Source organism: Homo sapiens, chromosome 7 (assembly GCF_000001405.40).
Source record: "Homo sapiens chromosome 7, GRCh38.p14 Primary Assembly".
Lineage (NCBI taxonomy): Eukaryota > Metazoa > Chordata > Mammalia > Primates > Hominidae > Homo > Homo sapiens.
In genome coordinates, this window is record NC_000007.14 from 19,140,422 (window position 1) to 19,152,955 (window position 12,534).

The window sequence follows — 12,534 nt, forward strand, 5'->3', positions numbered from 1 at the left end:
CAATCTGGTGTCACAGAAAATGTTGTGAAAATTTATAGGCTTTGGTTTATAGAGACTTGAGGAAGTTTTTCCACCTTTCTGGTATTTTATTCCTGTCAGTTTGCATTGCTTCTTTTCTTTCCTTCTTCTCCTCCGCCAGGTTTGGTTTTAAGCTTTGGATTCAAAGAAACCCCAAAGTCAAAACAAAATGGTCAGAACTGCTGACTCTTGTTTTGTAATCTTTTTTTAGTCCAGTATTCACAGGAAGAGAGGGTGCTGACCAGAAATTGGGCCTAACTTCACCCAAAATGTTGGCAAAGTTCAGGAACCTTTGAGTGAACTTGTGCCAAGTTAATGATATATAGCCAACTTCACCAGTTTTCCAAAAACATTTAAAATTTAATTTCATGAAATAATATCATCCTATAAAAAGTCAAGTTCATACTTAACATTCAATACTAATCTGCTAGCTCTTTTTGATAAAAATAAAATAATAGTCTAATTTGTATTTTGTATTAAATAGATTCTCTTGTTTTTTTAAAGTATCAGGTATATTTTGGAAATGCACATGTAAAATGTACTTGTGGCTTCGTTACTTTAGAAGTTTCCTTTGAAGATCTGTAATTAAGAAAAAAATGTATCCTAAAATCATGCTTATCAAGTTTCGTCTCAGGATTTTTACAGCTATGTTATCAACCTCCCAAAAGATTATTTTATAATGGAAATGCTGACAAATGTGATAATAAACACTAATCCAAGGGTCTTAATTGTATCATATGTCTGCATGTAGGAATTATGCATACTAGCAGAATATTTGGTTCAGTTTCCAGCACTTAATTTTGCCAAAATCTGCTTTAACGCTGGGCAACTAACTGTAAAAGATGATCAGCCTAAATGACTCCCTGTTGATGGTAAGGGCTTCTGATTATTTTTAGATTCCTCAGAAAGCCTAATTATGTCTTTCAAATATGATTTCATTTAGATCTTTTTATGGCTTACTTGTCTGAATACTAATAGTAATCTGATAGCTATGGGGAACTTAGTTTGAGACCAAAAGGCAGTGTTCCATCAGTAGAGAGTATATAAATAAATCACCTCCAAGCAACATCTCAGATGGTATTTAGATTCTAAATGTTCAAATGACTTTAAGATTTCAAAAACAAATTATTTTAATTTTCCAGAAGTAACTGACACCATTAGGTCTTAAAAAAAGCCTGGCTGAAGTTACTGAAAAGGCAATATCTACTCATATTTCTATCAATGGTAGTTTAGGAGATAATAAACAGTAAAACTATTTTAATGTAGTGGGTGTTACATTCAAAAACCCTTGTATTAAAAATTAGCTGGGTGTGGTTGCGCGTGCCTGTAATCCCAGCTACTTGGGAGTCTGAGGCAGGAGAATCGCTTGAACCAGGGAGTTGGAGGTTGCAGTGAGCTGAGATCGCACCACTGCACTCCAGCCTGGCGACAGAGCGAGACTCCATCTCAAACAAACAAACAAACAAAAAACTTGTGTTAAAGGTGCACTGATTTTATGCATCTAACATGAGGAAAACTAAAATTAAAATAATGCTTAGAAAAGTTGAGGGTCAAAATATGGAGGTATACTCGATTTAAGTTCAGGACGTGGATCATTTTGTCTTACCTCTATTGGCATTTGATGAAAGGAATGTCAATCCCTTTCTATGTGACTCTGATCCTTACCTGGGTTCAAATTACTCTGAGTAAAATTATTATGAAAATATCTTAAAAGACTACATTTGAGGCAGTTCCTAAACATGTAAACTTACAAATAGCAAAGCATTTATAAACGATTAAAGTTTTTTTTTTTAAGAAGGGTGGATAATTCCTCTGTTGATAATAAGAAAATAACTTTTAATTTAGAAGTTTTTTAGGTATCATTTACTATGATGAAGAGGTATTCACTGGAGGAATATTATTTGCTTTCTAGGAACAAAATGTATTAGAATATGATGGAGAAGACTAACGAAAACGGGTGGCTGTGCTGACTCCTCACGACTTAGGAATGTTGATGGTCCCTGGTCTACACAATTTTGCTTTATTTCTGGTTTTCAAAACTTGTTCTTTCAGCAAAATATTAAGAATTCCTAGATTGGAATTACTTTTTTTTCTTTTTATTTATTCAACACTTTCAGATGATTTTTTAAAAAAGAATGATGTTTAATTTCCAGGAGAAATTGAATTGGTGGAAGAATAAGAAAAAACAACACTCTATGGGGCTTTGTTGTTGTTTGGTGTTAGCTGTTTATGTATTTTTTTTTTGTTTACCTGTTTATCCTGATGTTCTTACGGTGCAGTTGAAAAAATTCTTGGTGGAAAGACACAGTAAAAGTAAAAAAACATCTTGGGAGTGGGGGCTCGTTTCAGAACTAATCCAGGTCCTATGAAAAGGAAAACTAAGAAAAGTTTTAAATATTCGAAGTACTAATGAAGGGGCTGGGAAACAGGCAAATCCCTGCAATGCTAGAGGGTGGGAGAGTGAACTGGCAGAACCCACCAAGAAGGGAATCTGGCCATTTATATCCACAAACTTGAATCCAGAAATTTCACTTCTAGGTATCAAATGTTAGGAAGTAATAATAGACAGAGAAGGCATTTACAAGAATGCTCTTAGCAGCATCATTTATTTTTTAAAAAGGAAATAGCTATCTATCTGGAAAGGGCTGGTGGTGGTGTGATACATGGATAAGACAATAAGATATGGTAATCAAAATCACATTTGAATAATATTAAAGTTAAGGGAAAACATTGCACCTTCTATAATGCCAAGTGGAAAAATATCAGTATCCCAAAGTATCTCGAATTAGTAAAATATATTGAATTTATAACTGCACAGGGAAAAAAAGACTGGAAAGAAATAGATGAAAATGCTAACAGTATGGTAACGTGGAGTGATTCGAATTTTCTCTTTTTTGAAATTTTTTTTTCCAAAATTTCTAGGATGAGTATATGTTACTTATTAATGAAATGAATTCTATTTCCGAAAGCATGATTAAGAGAATTGTGTGTTCGCACAGGCTCCCGCCTATTTCTGTGTGCAATGAGGGGCGAAATAAAGTGTTGGAATAATCACTGGGGATTATCCTTTAGGATTACTGAATTTATGTTTAGGTTGGCATTATTCAATCGGGTTCCTCGCCTCAGTTACCCACTCCTTTCTGAAAGACCCCAGTTCTGGTACTAGCACGTCACCTAGAAGGAAGAATCCTGGAATGGCACGGGTCCAAACTAGAGGCGGCCTCTCAGCATGGACCCGCTTCAACCTCATCTGCATGGCAGGCGTTTTGCAAGGCGTCAGAAGGCATCTCCTCTTTGGACTTTTTGTCTCCCCTGGTAGTCTCTAGAAGCCATTAGAGTGAAAGCTATCTTTCCTACCTACAGCTAAAAATGTAAAAGTGAGCGCGCTCAGGCGGCCCTGCTCCTAGAAAGATCCAGGCCCCTTCATACCCCAACCCCTGGCCGGGGACAGTTGGTAGCGGTGGCTGGTGGCGAAGCTGCAGGGCGCCCAAGGCCCCCTGCGGCCCAGGAGTGACCCGAGTGCACTCGCCCCTTACTCTGGCCTGGGGCCTGAAGAAGGCACTGGAACACGGAAGCTGATGCTGCACTTTAGATGCAAAGCGTAGATTTGCACTCTGGCTAAGGCACTGAATGAACACCACTGTGGCCCTGGGACAAGGAGCTGTGGTCCGTCTGGGATCAACTAGGTGGCGAAGGGGAGGGAGAAAGGAAGAGAGAGGGCTTGCGCGCGGGAGAGAGGAAGGGACGGGAGGGAGAGGGAATGGAAGACAGGAAGGGTGTCCCTTCTCAGAGGTCGCACTTTGTCAGCAGTTCCTCTCGACTGCTCTGCCTTCCATTTTTCCTTTCCTCAGTTCCTGGACAAGCCTCGGAGGACCAGGCAGAACCCTCTGGCTAGCAGAAAAGCTCGCACCCCCGCACCCTTGCGGCGTCTGCTTCAGACCCTCCACGCAGGCGCCCGCTGGAGCGCCTGCTGGGGATGGCGTACCACCGACCCTTCAGGCTTTTTAAAAACGTAAGAATTTCTACTTTATTATCTCTATGAAAAAAAAAATGTAAAGAAGAGAGGTTAGATTTTATAGAAGCTCCAAAGTCTGCCATTTGCGAGGAGGGTTCACTTCCCACCCACCCAGCCCACGGAAGCTCTTAGGAGCAGCCTGAACGGCCCCGACTCAGCCTCACGCTCTCTGACTTCCCCGCTCGCCCCTGACCCCGACTTCACTTAGGGCGGTCGCGTAGATATGAACTCTACAGCAGCCACTCTGCTCAGCGCATGTGGGGATCTTACAATCTCGACCCCGACCTCCAGAAGACCAGACGTTCTGTCTTGGGGCCTCCCTCCCGGCCCTTTAGCCTCACCCAGTGCCCGGTCCTGACACACCCCAGCACTACCAGACGAGGAAGGGCAGACTCTCCACACCAGGCTCAGCCGCTTTCCTTCTTCTCACAGCTCTCCAAGAGCTCGGTCATGAAGGAGATATAGACGATGGCCAGGCGGAGGGTCTCGATCCGGGACAGCCTTTTCTCGTAAGCAAACGTGGGCACCTTCCTCCGCAGCTGGTCAAAGGCCTCGTTGAGGTTGAACATCCGCTTCCTTTCGCGGATGTTGGCGGCCTGGCGCTGGGCGTAGGTGATCACCCTTTTCCTCTTGGGGCGGCCTAATAGGGAGACACCTCTTCCGCGCTCCTCTTCCTCCTCCTCTTCTCCGTCCCCCTGGTCCACTTCGCACTCCTCTTCTTCTGGGTCCCCCTCTTCAAACCGCGCCATCCTCCTGGGTCTTCCCTCTCGGAGCGCAAGGGCTGGGTCCCCCAAGGAGACCCCGGGTGCGAAGTCGCAGAGGAGAGGGCGTCTCGGGGAGGCCAGGGACAGGTCTGCGACGAAGTCCAGCACCGTAGTGTCCACGCAGCTCTCCGGATAGGCCGCCATCGCTTCGGCTTGGCCCTGCCTCTCATCGGTTTTCCGCAGGGAGGGGCGAGGTTGCTGGTGGGGATTCTTAACAGCCTTGAATCTGATGGGGCACCATCACCGAAAGGCCAGGGAACATTAAATATTTATAACCAAGCTGATAACAGGATTAGTCGCACCGATAAGGAATGCTCTGACAACGTCCCTTCTCTCGAAGCTTATGGAAGATGACAAGCTTGAGCACGCATGGAAGACTCAAAGGGACAGGGCTCCAGTTCTGAGATCCTTTTCTCTGCGCCACCCGGGACAGTTCCTTGTTGGCAACAACCCCCAGCTCTTACCTGCTGTGCTTTTTGTGTCTGTCTTCACCCCTGCAGCCAACTAATGTTCTCCAGGCTCCTTATCTCGTGTAGTTCTTTAATTTCGTGTTGGATTTTCAAAGCGAGGATGTTTTCCACCGCGATGGCTTCTCCTTGACTTCAGGGTAGGAGTCTTGAATCTTGCCACCATCTGCCAATGGATGTGGAGCAAGTGCATGTGCTTTTAATGATGTCCTGAAGAGGGGCCCTGCCTGCCTGGCATCAAGGGGAGCTGTTTGTCTGGTATCCCAGTGCAGCGGCTGCTGAAAGGCAAGACCTTCAATTAGCTTAAGTAAGCATGGCAGGGGGACCGAGAGTGCATTCCCCAGAGTCGCTGTTGGAACCGGCTTTCTTTTCTTTCCAGGGCATCGCAAACAGCTCTCCTGCCACGTTACAAACCCTGACTTCTAAAGTCTGTTTGGATGCAATCAGCGTAACAATTGAGATACTTGACTTTCCTTTCCCTACCTTTACCTCCTACTCATATAAAATAGAGGATTTTATTCCAAGAGGAAAAGTTATGATGGCAATAAAATGAGAAATTTAAGCTCAGGATATTTTCTATGCTCGGGCTTTGCTGTATACTTTTCAGTGTGGGGGACAAAGCAAACTCTCCTCACAAACAAAACCACTTCAAGCTCTTTTCAGAAATGCGATTTGCCCTTGATAAGCCAAAGAGTCAATCAGCTCACCCTCTGCTGAGGAGTCTTCGGACTTTTAAATTGCGGATCGAGTATTTGTTCCCGAACAAAGAAAAAAACCTAACACTTCCATCTGGCGTATTTTCCTCATTGATTTGTATTGTCCTACAGTAAGACTTAAGTGCAGAAACAATGATTTATTGAAATATATTTAAGGGAGTTTTTGGCTATCGTTAGATCGTTATTTTTGAGAAAAGAAAGAGATTTTAAATTTGGCATAAGAAAAATAAGAGATTACTCATTTTATATTATCTCGAGTATCCCAAATATTTTAACAAAAAGGTTCTTTTTCTTTGTTTGCCAATAACTATATTTACTTAATTATTCAGTACTGTGTAAAGATTTATTTAAAAGACCCATTGTGTCAAAGTGACAGATTAGAAGATAATTTTAAAGGTAGATTGGAAGAAATAGCCTAAAAAGATGAATGTAGAAACATCCCGGTTCAAAAGAGAACTGCCCAGGACGTCAGTCCCTATTAAGGGGGTAAGTTGTGGTTATGATGGTTCACTCAGTACATTGGACAGCTCCCAGAAACCAGAAACCGCCTATTTCTAACAGGTAATCTCAATTCATTTTCTTCTTCCTAGCCTCTATGTGTGTAATCAAAACAGTATAACCTTTAATTCTTCTTCTTCTTTTAACCCATTTGTGTCTGGTGTCTCTCGATCTTTTAATAGATTTTATCTTCTTTTGCTTGTGTTTACTCTTCATTCTCCAGTTTGAATTGTGATAACTCAGGCAGAGAATAATTGAAATTTGTGATCCTGGAAGATGTTAAAGAGAATGAGATCTTTGGTTGTTACTTAGTTGATTTTTGCTAAGCATCTTTCAAAGGGAAGGCTGAAAAATAAATAATAGGATTGTCAACAGTGGCTATGAAGCTAGTAAATGGGAGAACTGATTTTTGTTTCAAAAAAGTAGTAACATGCTTGCTAACCCTCGTTTAAATTAATATGTTATTAAATATTTGGACAAATTTCTTGTTGATTTTTAAATTATGTTAAATGCTTCTCAGTGACTTATTTTGTATTCATTTACAATCTATTTGCAAGTGGATTAAACACCTCAGTCAATTGAGAATCTAGTTTCGCAATATAATACACTGGAAAACAATGAAGGAAAACATGGTTGATATTTAAATTTAAAATTTCATAAAATGGGGGTCAGAAGCCTTCATGAGACTAAAGAGATAGTTTCATTGGACTGAACTCCTTTATGATTTTAGCCAAGGCAATGTACCTTTCTTGCTTGCCTTCCTTCCTTCCTTCCTTCCTTCTTTCTTTCCTTCCTTCCTCTCTCCCTCCCTCCCCCTTACTCCTTTTTCTTTCTTTCTTTCTTTCTTTCTTTCTTTCTTTCTTTCTTTCTTTCTTTCTTTCTTTCTTTCTTTCTTTTTCTTTCTTTCTTCTTTCTTTCTCTTTCTTTCTTTCTTTCTTCTTTCTCTCTTTCTTTCTTTCTTTCTTTTTCTTTCCTCCTTCTCTCTTTCAACAGAGCCTCACTCAGTCATCGAGGCTGGAGCGCAGTGCTACAATCATAGCTTACTGTGCCTCAAACTCCTGGGCCCAAGCAACTCTCCTGCCTCAGCCTCCCGAGTACCTAGGACTGCAGGCACTGGCCACCTCATCAAGCTAAAGGTTTTGTTCTTTAGAGAGGAGGTCTAACTATTTTGCTCAGGCCTCAACCAGTCCTCTCACCTTGACCTCCCAAAGTGCTGAGATTACTGGCCTGAGCCACTGCAGCTGGCAGAGAATGGAGATTTCAATAATCATATCACAAAAGGAACTGTAGCAAAAGTAATGGAACCAGTGCCTAGAACTGGGTTGAAATACTTGTATTAAAGTATTAGGAATTTTTTAAATGTCCTAATAGGTACACCTACAGCAATTATTTTAAAATATTTTCTTTTTTATTTCATCATAAAAATCCCAGGATAAACACTTCTGTTTATACCACCTTAATTTCTGTTTATCTTACAAGGTTATAATCATGCTAATATAATTAAAGCAAAAAATGTTAAAATCTAAGTTATGAGTGTTTTTATTTATAATTATAATTAGTTATATAAATTAACAGTTACAGTTATTTCATTTATAATTATAATTAATTATAGGAATAACTGAAATTCTTTTTCTCTGCTTATTGTGAAATGGTCATTTTATTTTTAGAAGACTTTTGTGGGTATTTGGTTCCACAGTAAATATATATGGCAAAAGCAGTAAATTTATAAAGTACCAAGTGATGTTACAGTTCATCCTATTGGAAGGAATCATTATTTTCATTTCTAGATTTGAAAGTTAAGAGAGAGATGTTTTTTAAAAACTCAATTGAGGATTAAAAGAAGCTAAGTTCAACCTTGATTCCTCTGTGTTCTAGGCCTATAGTTTACAGTTATTCAGTGACCTATAGGGAGGCATTTATAAAAAGTTTGATAACTCCTCACAAATTTTACTCAAAATATTTCAAGAAATGATTATGAAATGACAATCAGTTTTGCTTATTTGATTATCTAGTTTATTTCTATTGACCATTCCTATTAGACATAAAACATTTTGTTTATACTATTAAACTGTTCAGAATCAAAGCAAAAAGAAAAAAAAATGACCAAGAATAACTTAAGCAGTAATTCTTGAATGAGCTGAAGCCTGGGTTTAATGGTGCAAAGGGGAGAAAGGTAGATAAATAAAGCATCCAGGGAGTAAAGCAAATATATAAATCCCCCCAATTAAAAAAACCCTACCTTTCCTTCCTCATGTCCCTTCCTCTTTTATTCCAGAAACATTAACTTTTAGGGCAAATGATAAAGATATGACGAAGCTAGATGTCTGTGATGATTGTAGGAGAAAGGCATAAGAAGTACTCCTTCCGCTGACCTGGAGAAGGGACCAGTGTCTTCTTCCTATTCAATTTCAAATTATGTATGGTTGTGACCACGGCTGGTTTTAGAGATAGAAGAATATATATCCATTTATTTTGCTTTTTTCATTTCATATTTTAGGTAAACTTTTTTGAAGCTCAGTGTATGTACTTTAAAATTCGCAAATTATATACATGCAGCTTCATGAATTTTCAAAGTGAATGTATCCATGAAACCAGTGCCCAAATCAAGAAATGGAATGCCTTTTTGAAGTTTGAGGTAATGTAAGAACAGTTAAGTTTATAGCTTGAGACTGTTTCACAAAGTGAGCATATGCATAATCTATAAAAATAAATTATATTCTGTATACTATTGTGTCTTTCAGTCAATATTTTATTTATGCAATTTGTGCATATTCTCATTGTTGAATAATATTTCACTGTGTAAATATACCACTATTTATTTGTTCTTTCCTTTTCTTGTTGGTGGACATTTGGATAGTTTCCAATTTTTAGTTACTACAAATAGCAGTGTCATAGAGGTTATTGTACATATCTTTTTGTGAGTACATTTATCCTTTCCTGTTTGGGATACACCTGGAATTGGAATAGATTATGCATATGTTCAGTTTTAGTGGTTACTATAAAATTGTTTTCCAAAATGGTTGTAATAATTTACACTGTCACAAATGATATATTGGAGTTCCAATTTCTTCACATCCTCGCCAATACTTGCCATTTTCTATCTTTTTAATTTAAGCTGTTTTAAAGATGTGTATGGGTATCACATTTCAGTTTTAATTTACATTTCCCTGATGATAAGTAAAATTGAGCACCATTTCTTGTTAGCCGATTAGTTACTGACTCTTTAATAAAGTACTGCTCCACTGTTTATTGGATTTTTCTAATTTAAAAAATTGATTTGTACGAATATTCTGGGTATAAGTTCCATGTCAGACGTATGTAATGTAAATATCTTCTCCCAACTCTGTGGCTTTCCTTTTGACTCTCTTTATGGTATATTTAAAAATTTCAGGCCGGGCGCGGTGGCTCACGCCTGTAAACCGAGCACTTTGGGAGGCCGAGGCGGGCGGATCACGAGGTCAGGGATCGAGACCATCCTGGCTAACACGGTGAAACTCCGTCTCTACTAAAAATACAAAAAAATTAGCCTGGCATGGTAGCGGGCGCCTGTAGTCCCAGCTACTCGTGAGGCTGAGGCAGGAGAATGGCGTGAACCTGGGAGGCGGAGCTTGCAGTGAGCCGAGATCACACCACTGCACACCAGTCTAGGTGAGAGTGAGACTCCGTCTCAAAAAAAAGAAAAAATTCATTTATATTTTTTCCAATTTTTATGGCGGTAAAATACATATAACATAAAATTTATCACTTTACCTATTTGTAAGTGTACAGTTCGGTGGTATTAAATACATTCATCATATTGTGCATCACCATCATCCATCTCAAGAACTCTTTTAATTTTATAAAATGAAAACTCCATATTCATTAAAAAAGTAACTCCTCGTTCTCTCCTTTCCTCAGCCCCTGGCAACCACCATTCTACTTTCCGTCTCTTTAAATTTGACTACTCTGGGTAGCTCATACAAGTGGAATTATACAGTATTTGTCTTTTTGTGACTGGCTTATTTCACTTAGCATAATGTCCTAAAGAGCCATCTATATTTTAACACACATTAGAATTTCCTTTCTTTTTAGGGTTGAATGATATTCCACTGTATGTATATGCCACACTTTGTTTATCCATTCCTCTGATGATGGACACTTGGGTTGCTTCCAGATTTTAGTTATTGTGAATAATGCTGCTATAAACATGGATATCTACAAATCATTTTGAGACCCTGCTTTCAATTTTTTTGGATGTGTCCCCAGAAGTGGAATTGCTAATAATTTGGTAACTCTGTTTTTAATTTTAAAAATAATTTTGTATTCTTTAACCAACCTCTTTCTATCCTCCCTTCCCACTACCCTTCCAAGACTCTGAAAACCCACAATTCCATTATCTGCTTCATGAGCTCCACATTTTTGGCACCTACATGTGAATAAGACCATGTGGTATTTTTCTGTGCCTGATTTATTTCATTTAACATAATGTCCTTCAGGCTCATTTGTGCTGCTGTCTAGTTTTAATTTTTTGAGGAACCACTGAACTGTTTTTCACAGTGGCTCTACCATTTTACATTCCCACCAACACTGTGCAAAGGCTCCCGTTACTCCATATCCTCACCAACACTTGTTTTATGTTTGTTTGTTTAGATAGTAGCCACCTTTATGGGTGTGAGTTTGTATCCTATTACAGCTTTGATTTGCTTTTCCCTAATGATTAGTGATGTTGAGGATCTTTTTATATGCCTGTTGGCTATTTGTATATCTTTTTTTTGAGAAATGTCTCTTCAGGTCTTCCACTCATTTTTGAATTGGGTTGTGTCTTTTTTTTCCAAGAACTTTACTGGATAAAAATTTTCTATGACTCATTCTATGTGTTATACATTTTGAAACCTTGTATACATCTGAAAAGTATTCTGAGAAAAATAATAATTGTTTCTTTATGTATATGTAAGTGAAAATGTTCTCTATATATCCTGGATATCAATCTTTTATCAGATACATGATTTGCAAATACTTTTCTCACTCTATAAGTTGTCTTTTTACTCTATTAATGGTGTCTTTTGATGCGCAAAAGTTTTACATTTTCATGAAGTCCAATTTGTCTATATTTTCTTTTTGCTTGGGCCTTTGGTATCATATCTAAGAAATCACTGCCAAATCCTATGTTGTAAATCTTTTTCTTTTTTTCTAAGAGATTTTAGTTTTAGGCCTTATGTTCTTATGTTTAGGTCCTTGATCCGTTTCAACTTAGTTTTTGTATATGGTGTTAGGTAAGGGTCCAGCTTCATTCTTTTACATGAGGATATTCAGTTTTCCTGATGCCGTTTGTTAAAAAACAAAAACAAAAAAGTATCTTTTCTCTATTGAATGATCTTGGTATCCTTGTCAAAAATCATTTGACCATATATGTGAGGGTTTATTTCTGGGCATTCTATTCTATTTCATTGGTTTATTTGCCTGTCTTTATGTAAGAATCTCATTGTTTTGTTTACTGTAGCTTTGTAGTAAATTTTGAAATCAGGAAGTATGAATCATTTAATATCTTTAGATGAAAAGAAGTTCTTATTTTTAGTGTAGTCAAAACCATGCTTTTTTACTCCTTAGTGTTGTTTATGTCATGTTTAAGAAATCTTAACATATTTTACCATCATGAAGATATTATTTTATGCTTTCTTCTAAAAGCCTGTTTTTTCTTTAACATTTAGAACTGTAACCAACCTAGAAATGATTTCTGTATGGTATGAGTAATGAAGGCGGTGGTCAAAATTTATTTGGTTTTCAATTGACCCAGAAACATTTATTGAAAAGACTATCATATTTTATTAAACTTACTCATTTTATGAAAAAATTTCTAAACTAAATAAGAACTTTTTCTGTTCTTAGGAGTGCTAGGAAAAGAATTCAAATATAAAAGGAAATCAATTCTAGGATTTGTCTATATTTTTAACTATATTTATAGTTAAAAAATTCTTGCTTATAGTCCAACGAATTTCTTGCCATTTTGATTATAATCTAGGTTCAAATAAAAATAAGGACTCTAGAATGCTGTAGTTTAGGGATTGGCTAACATTTTC

General features: G+C 38.1%; 1 protein-coding gene across 1 annotated transcript, besides 2 other annotated features; it reads right to left on the reverse strand.

The window, feature by feature from the left end:
• Positions 3,733 to 4,932: an enhancer, noted in NCBI's record as "BRD4-independent group 4 enhancer chr7:19183777-19184976 (GRCh37/hg19 assembly coordinates)". NCBI's record gives its function as "activates an origin of replication core promoter dependent on BRD2, P300/CBP, MED14 and CDK7 cofactors, and independent of BRD4, by STARR-seq in HCT116 cells {active_cell/tissue: HCT116}" and the evidence as "EXISTENCE:reporter gene assay evidence [ECO:0000049][PMID:35650434]".
• On the reverse strand, positions 4,361 to 5,000 carry FERD3L (Fer3 like bHLH transcription factor). Its single transcript, NM_152898.2, has one exon. The coding sequence runs from the start codon at positions 4,939 to 4,941 to the stop codon at positions 4,441 to 4,443; it is 501 nt and encodes a 166-aa protein (NP_690862.1). The 5' UTR covers positions 4,942 to 5,000; the 3' UTR covers positions 4,361 to 4,440.
• Positions 5,398 to 6,046: an enhancer, noted in NCBI's record as "OCT4-NANOG hESC enhancer chr7:19185442-19186090 (GRCh37/hg19 assembly coordinates)". NCBI's record gives its function as "activates a minimal SCP1, AML or CMV promoter by ChIP-STARR-seq in naive H9 embryonic stem cells {active_cell/tissue: H9 hESC(naive)}" and the evidence as "EXISTENCE:reporter gene assay evidence [ECO:0000049][PMID:30033119]".

What these genes read in the sequence shown, in the direction of transcription:
- FERD3L (NM_152898.2), bottom strand. Translation starts at nt 4,941, where the DNA reads ATGGCGGCCTATCCGGAGAGCTGCGTGGACACTACGGTGCTGGACTTC.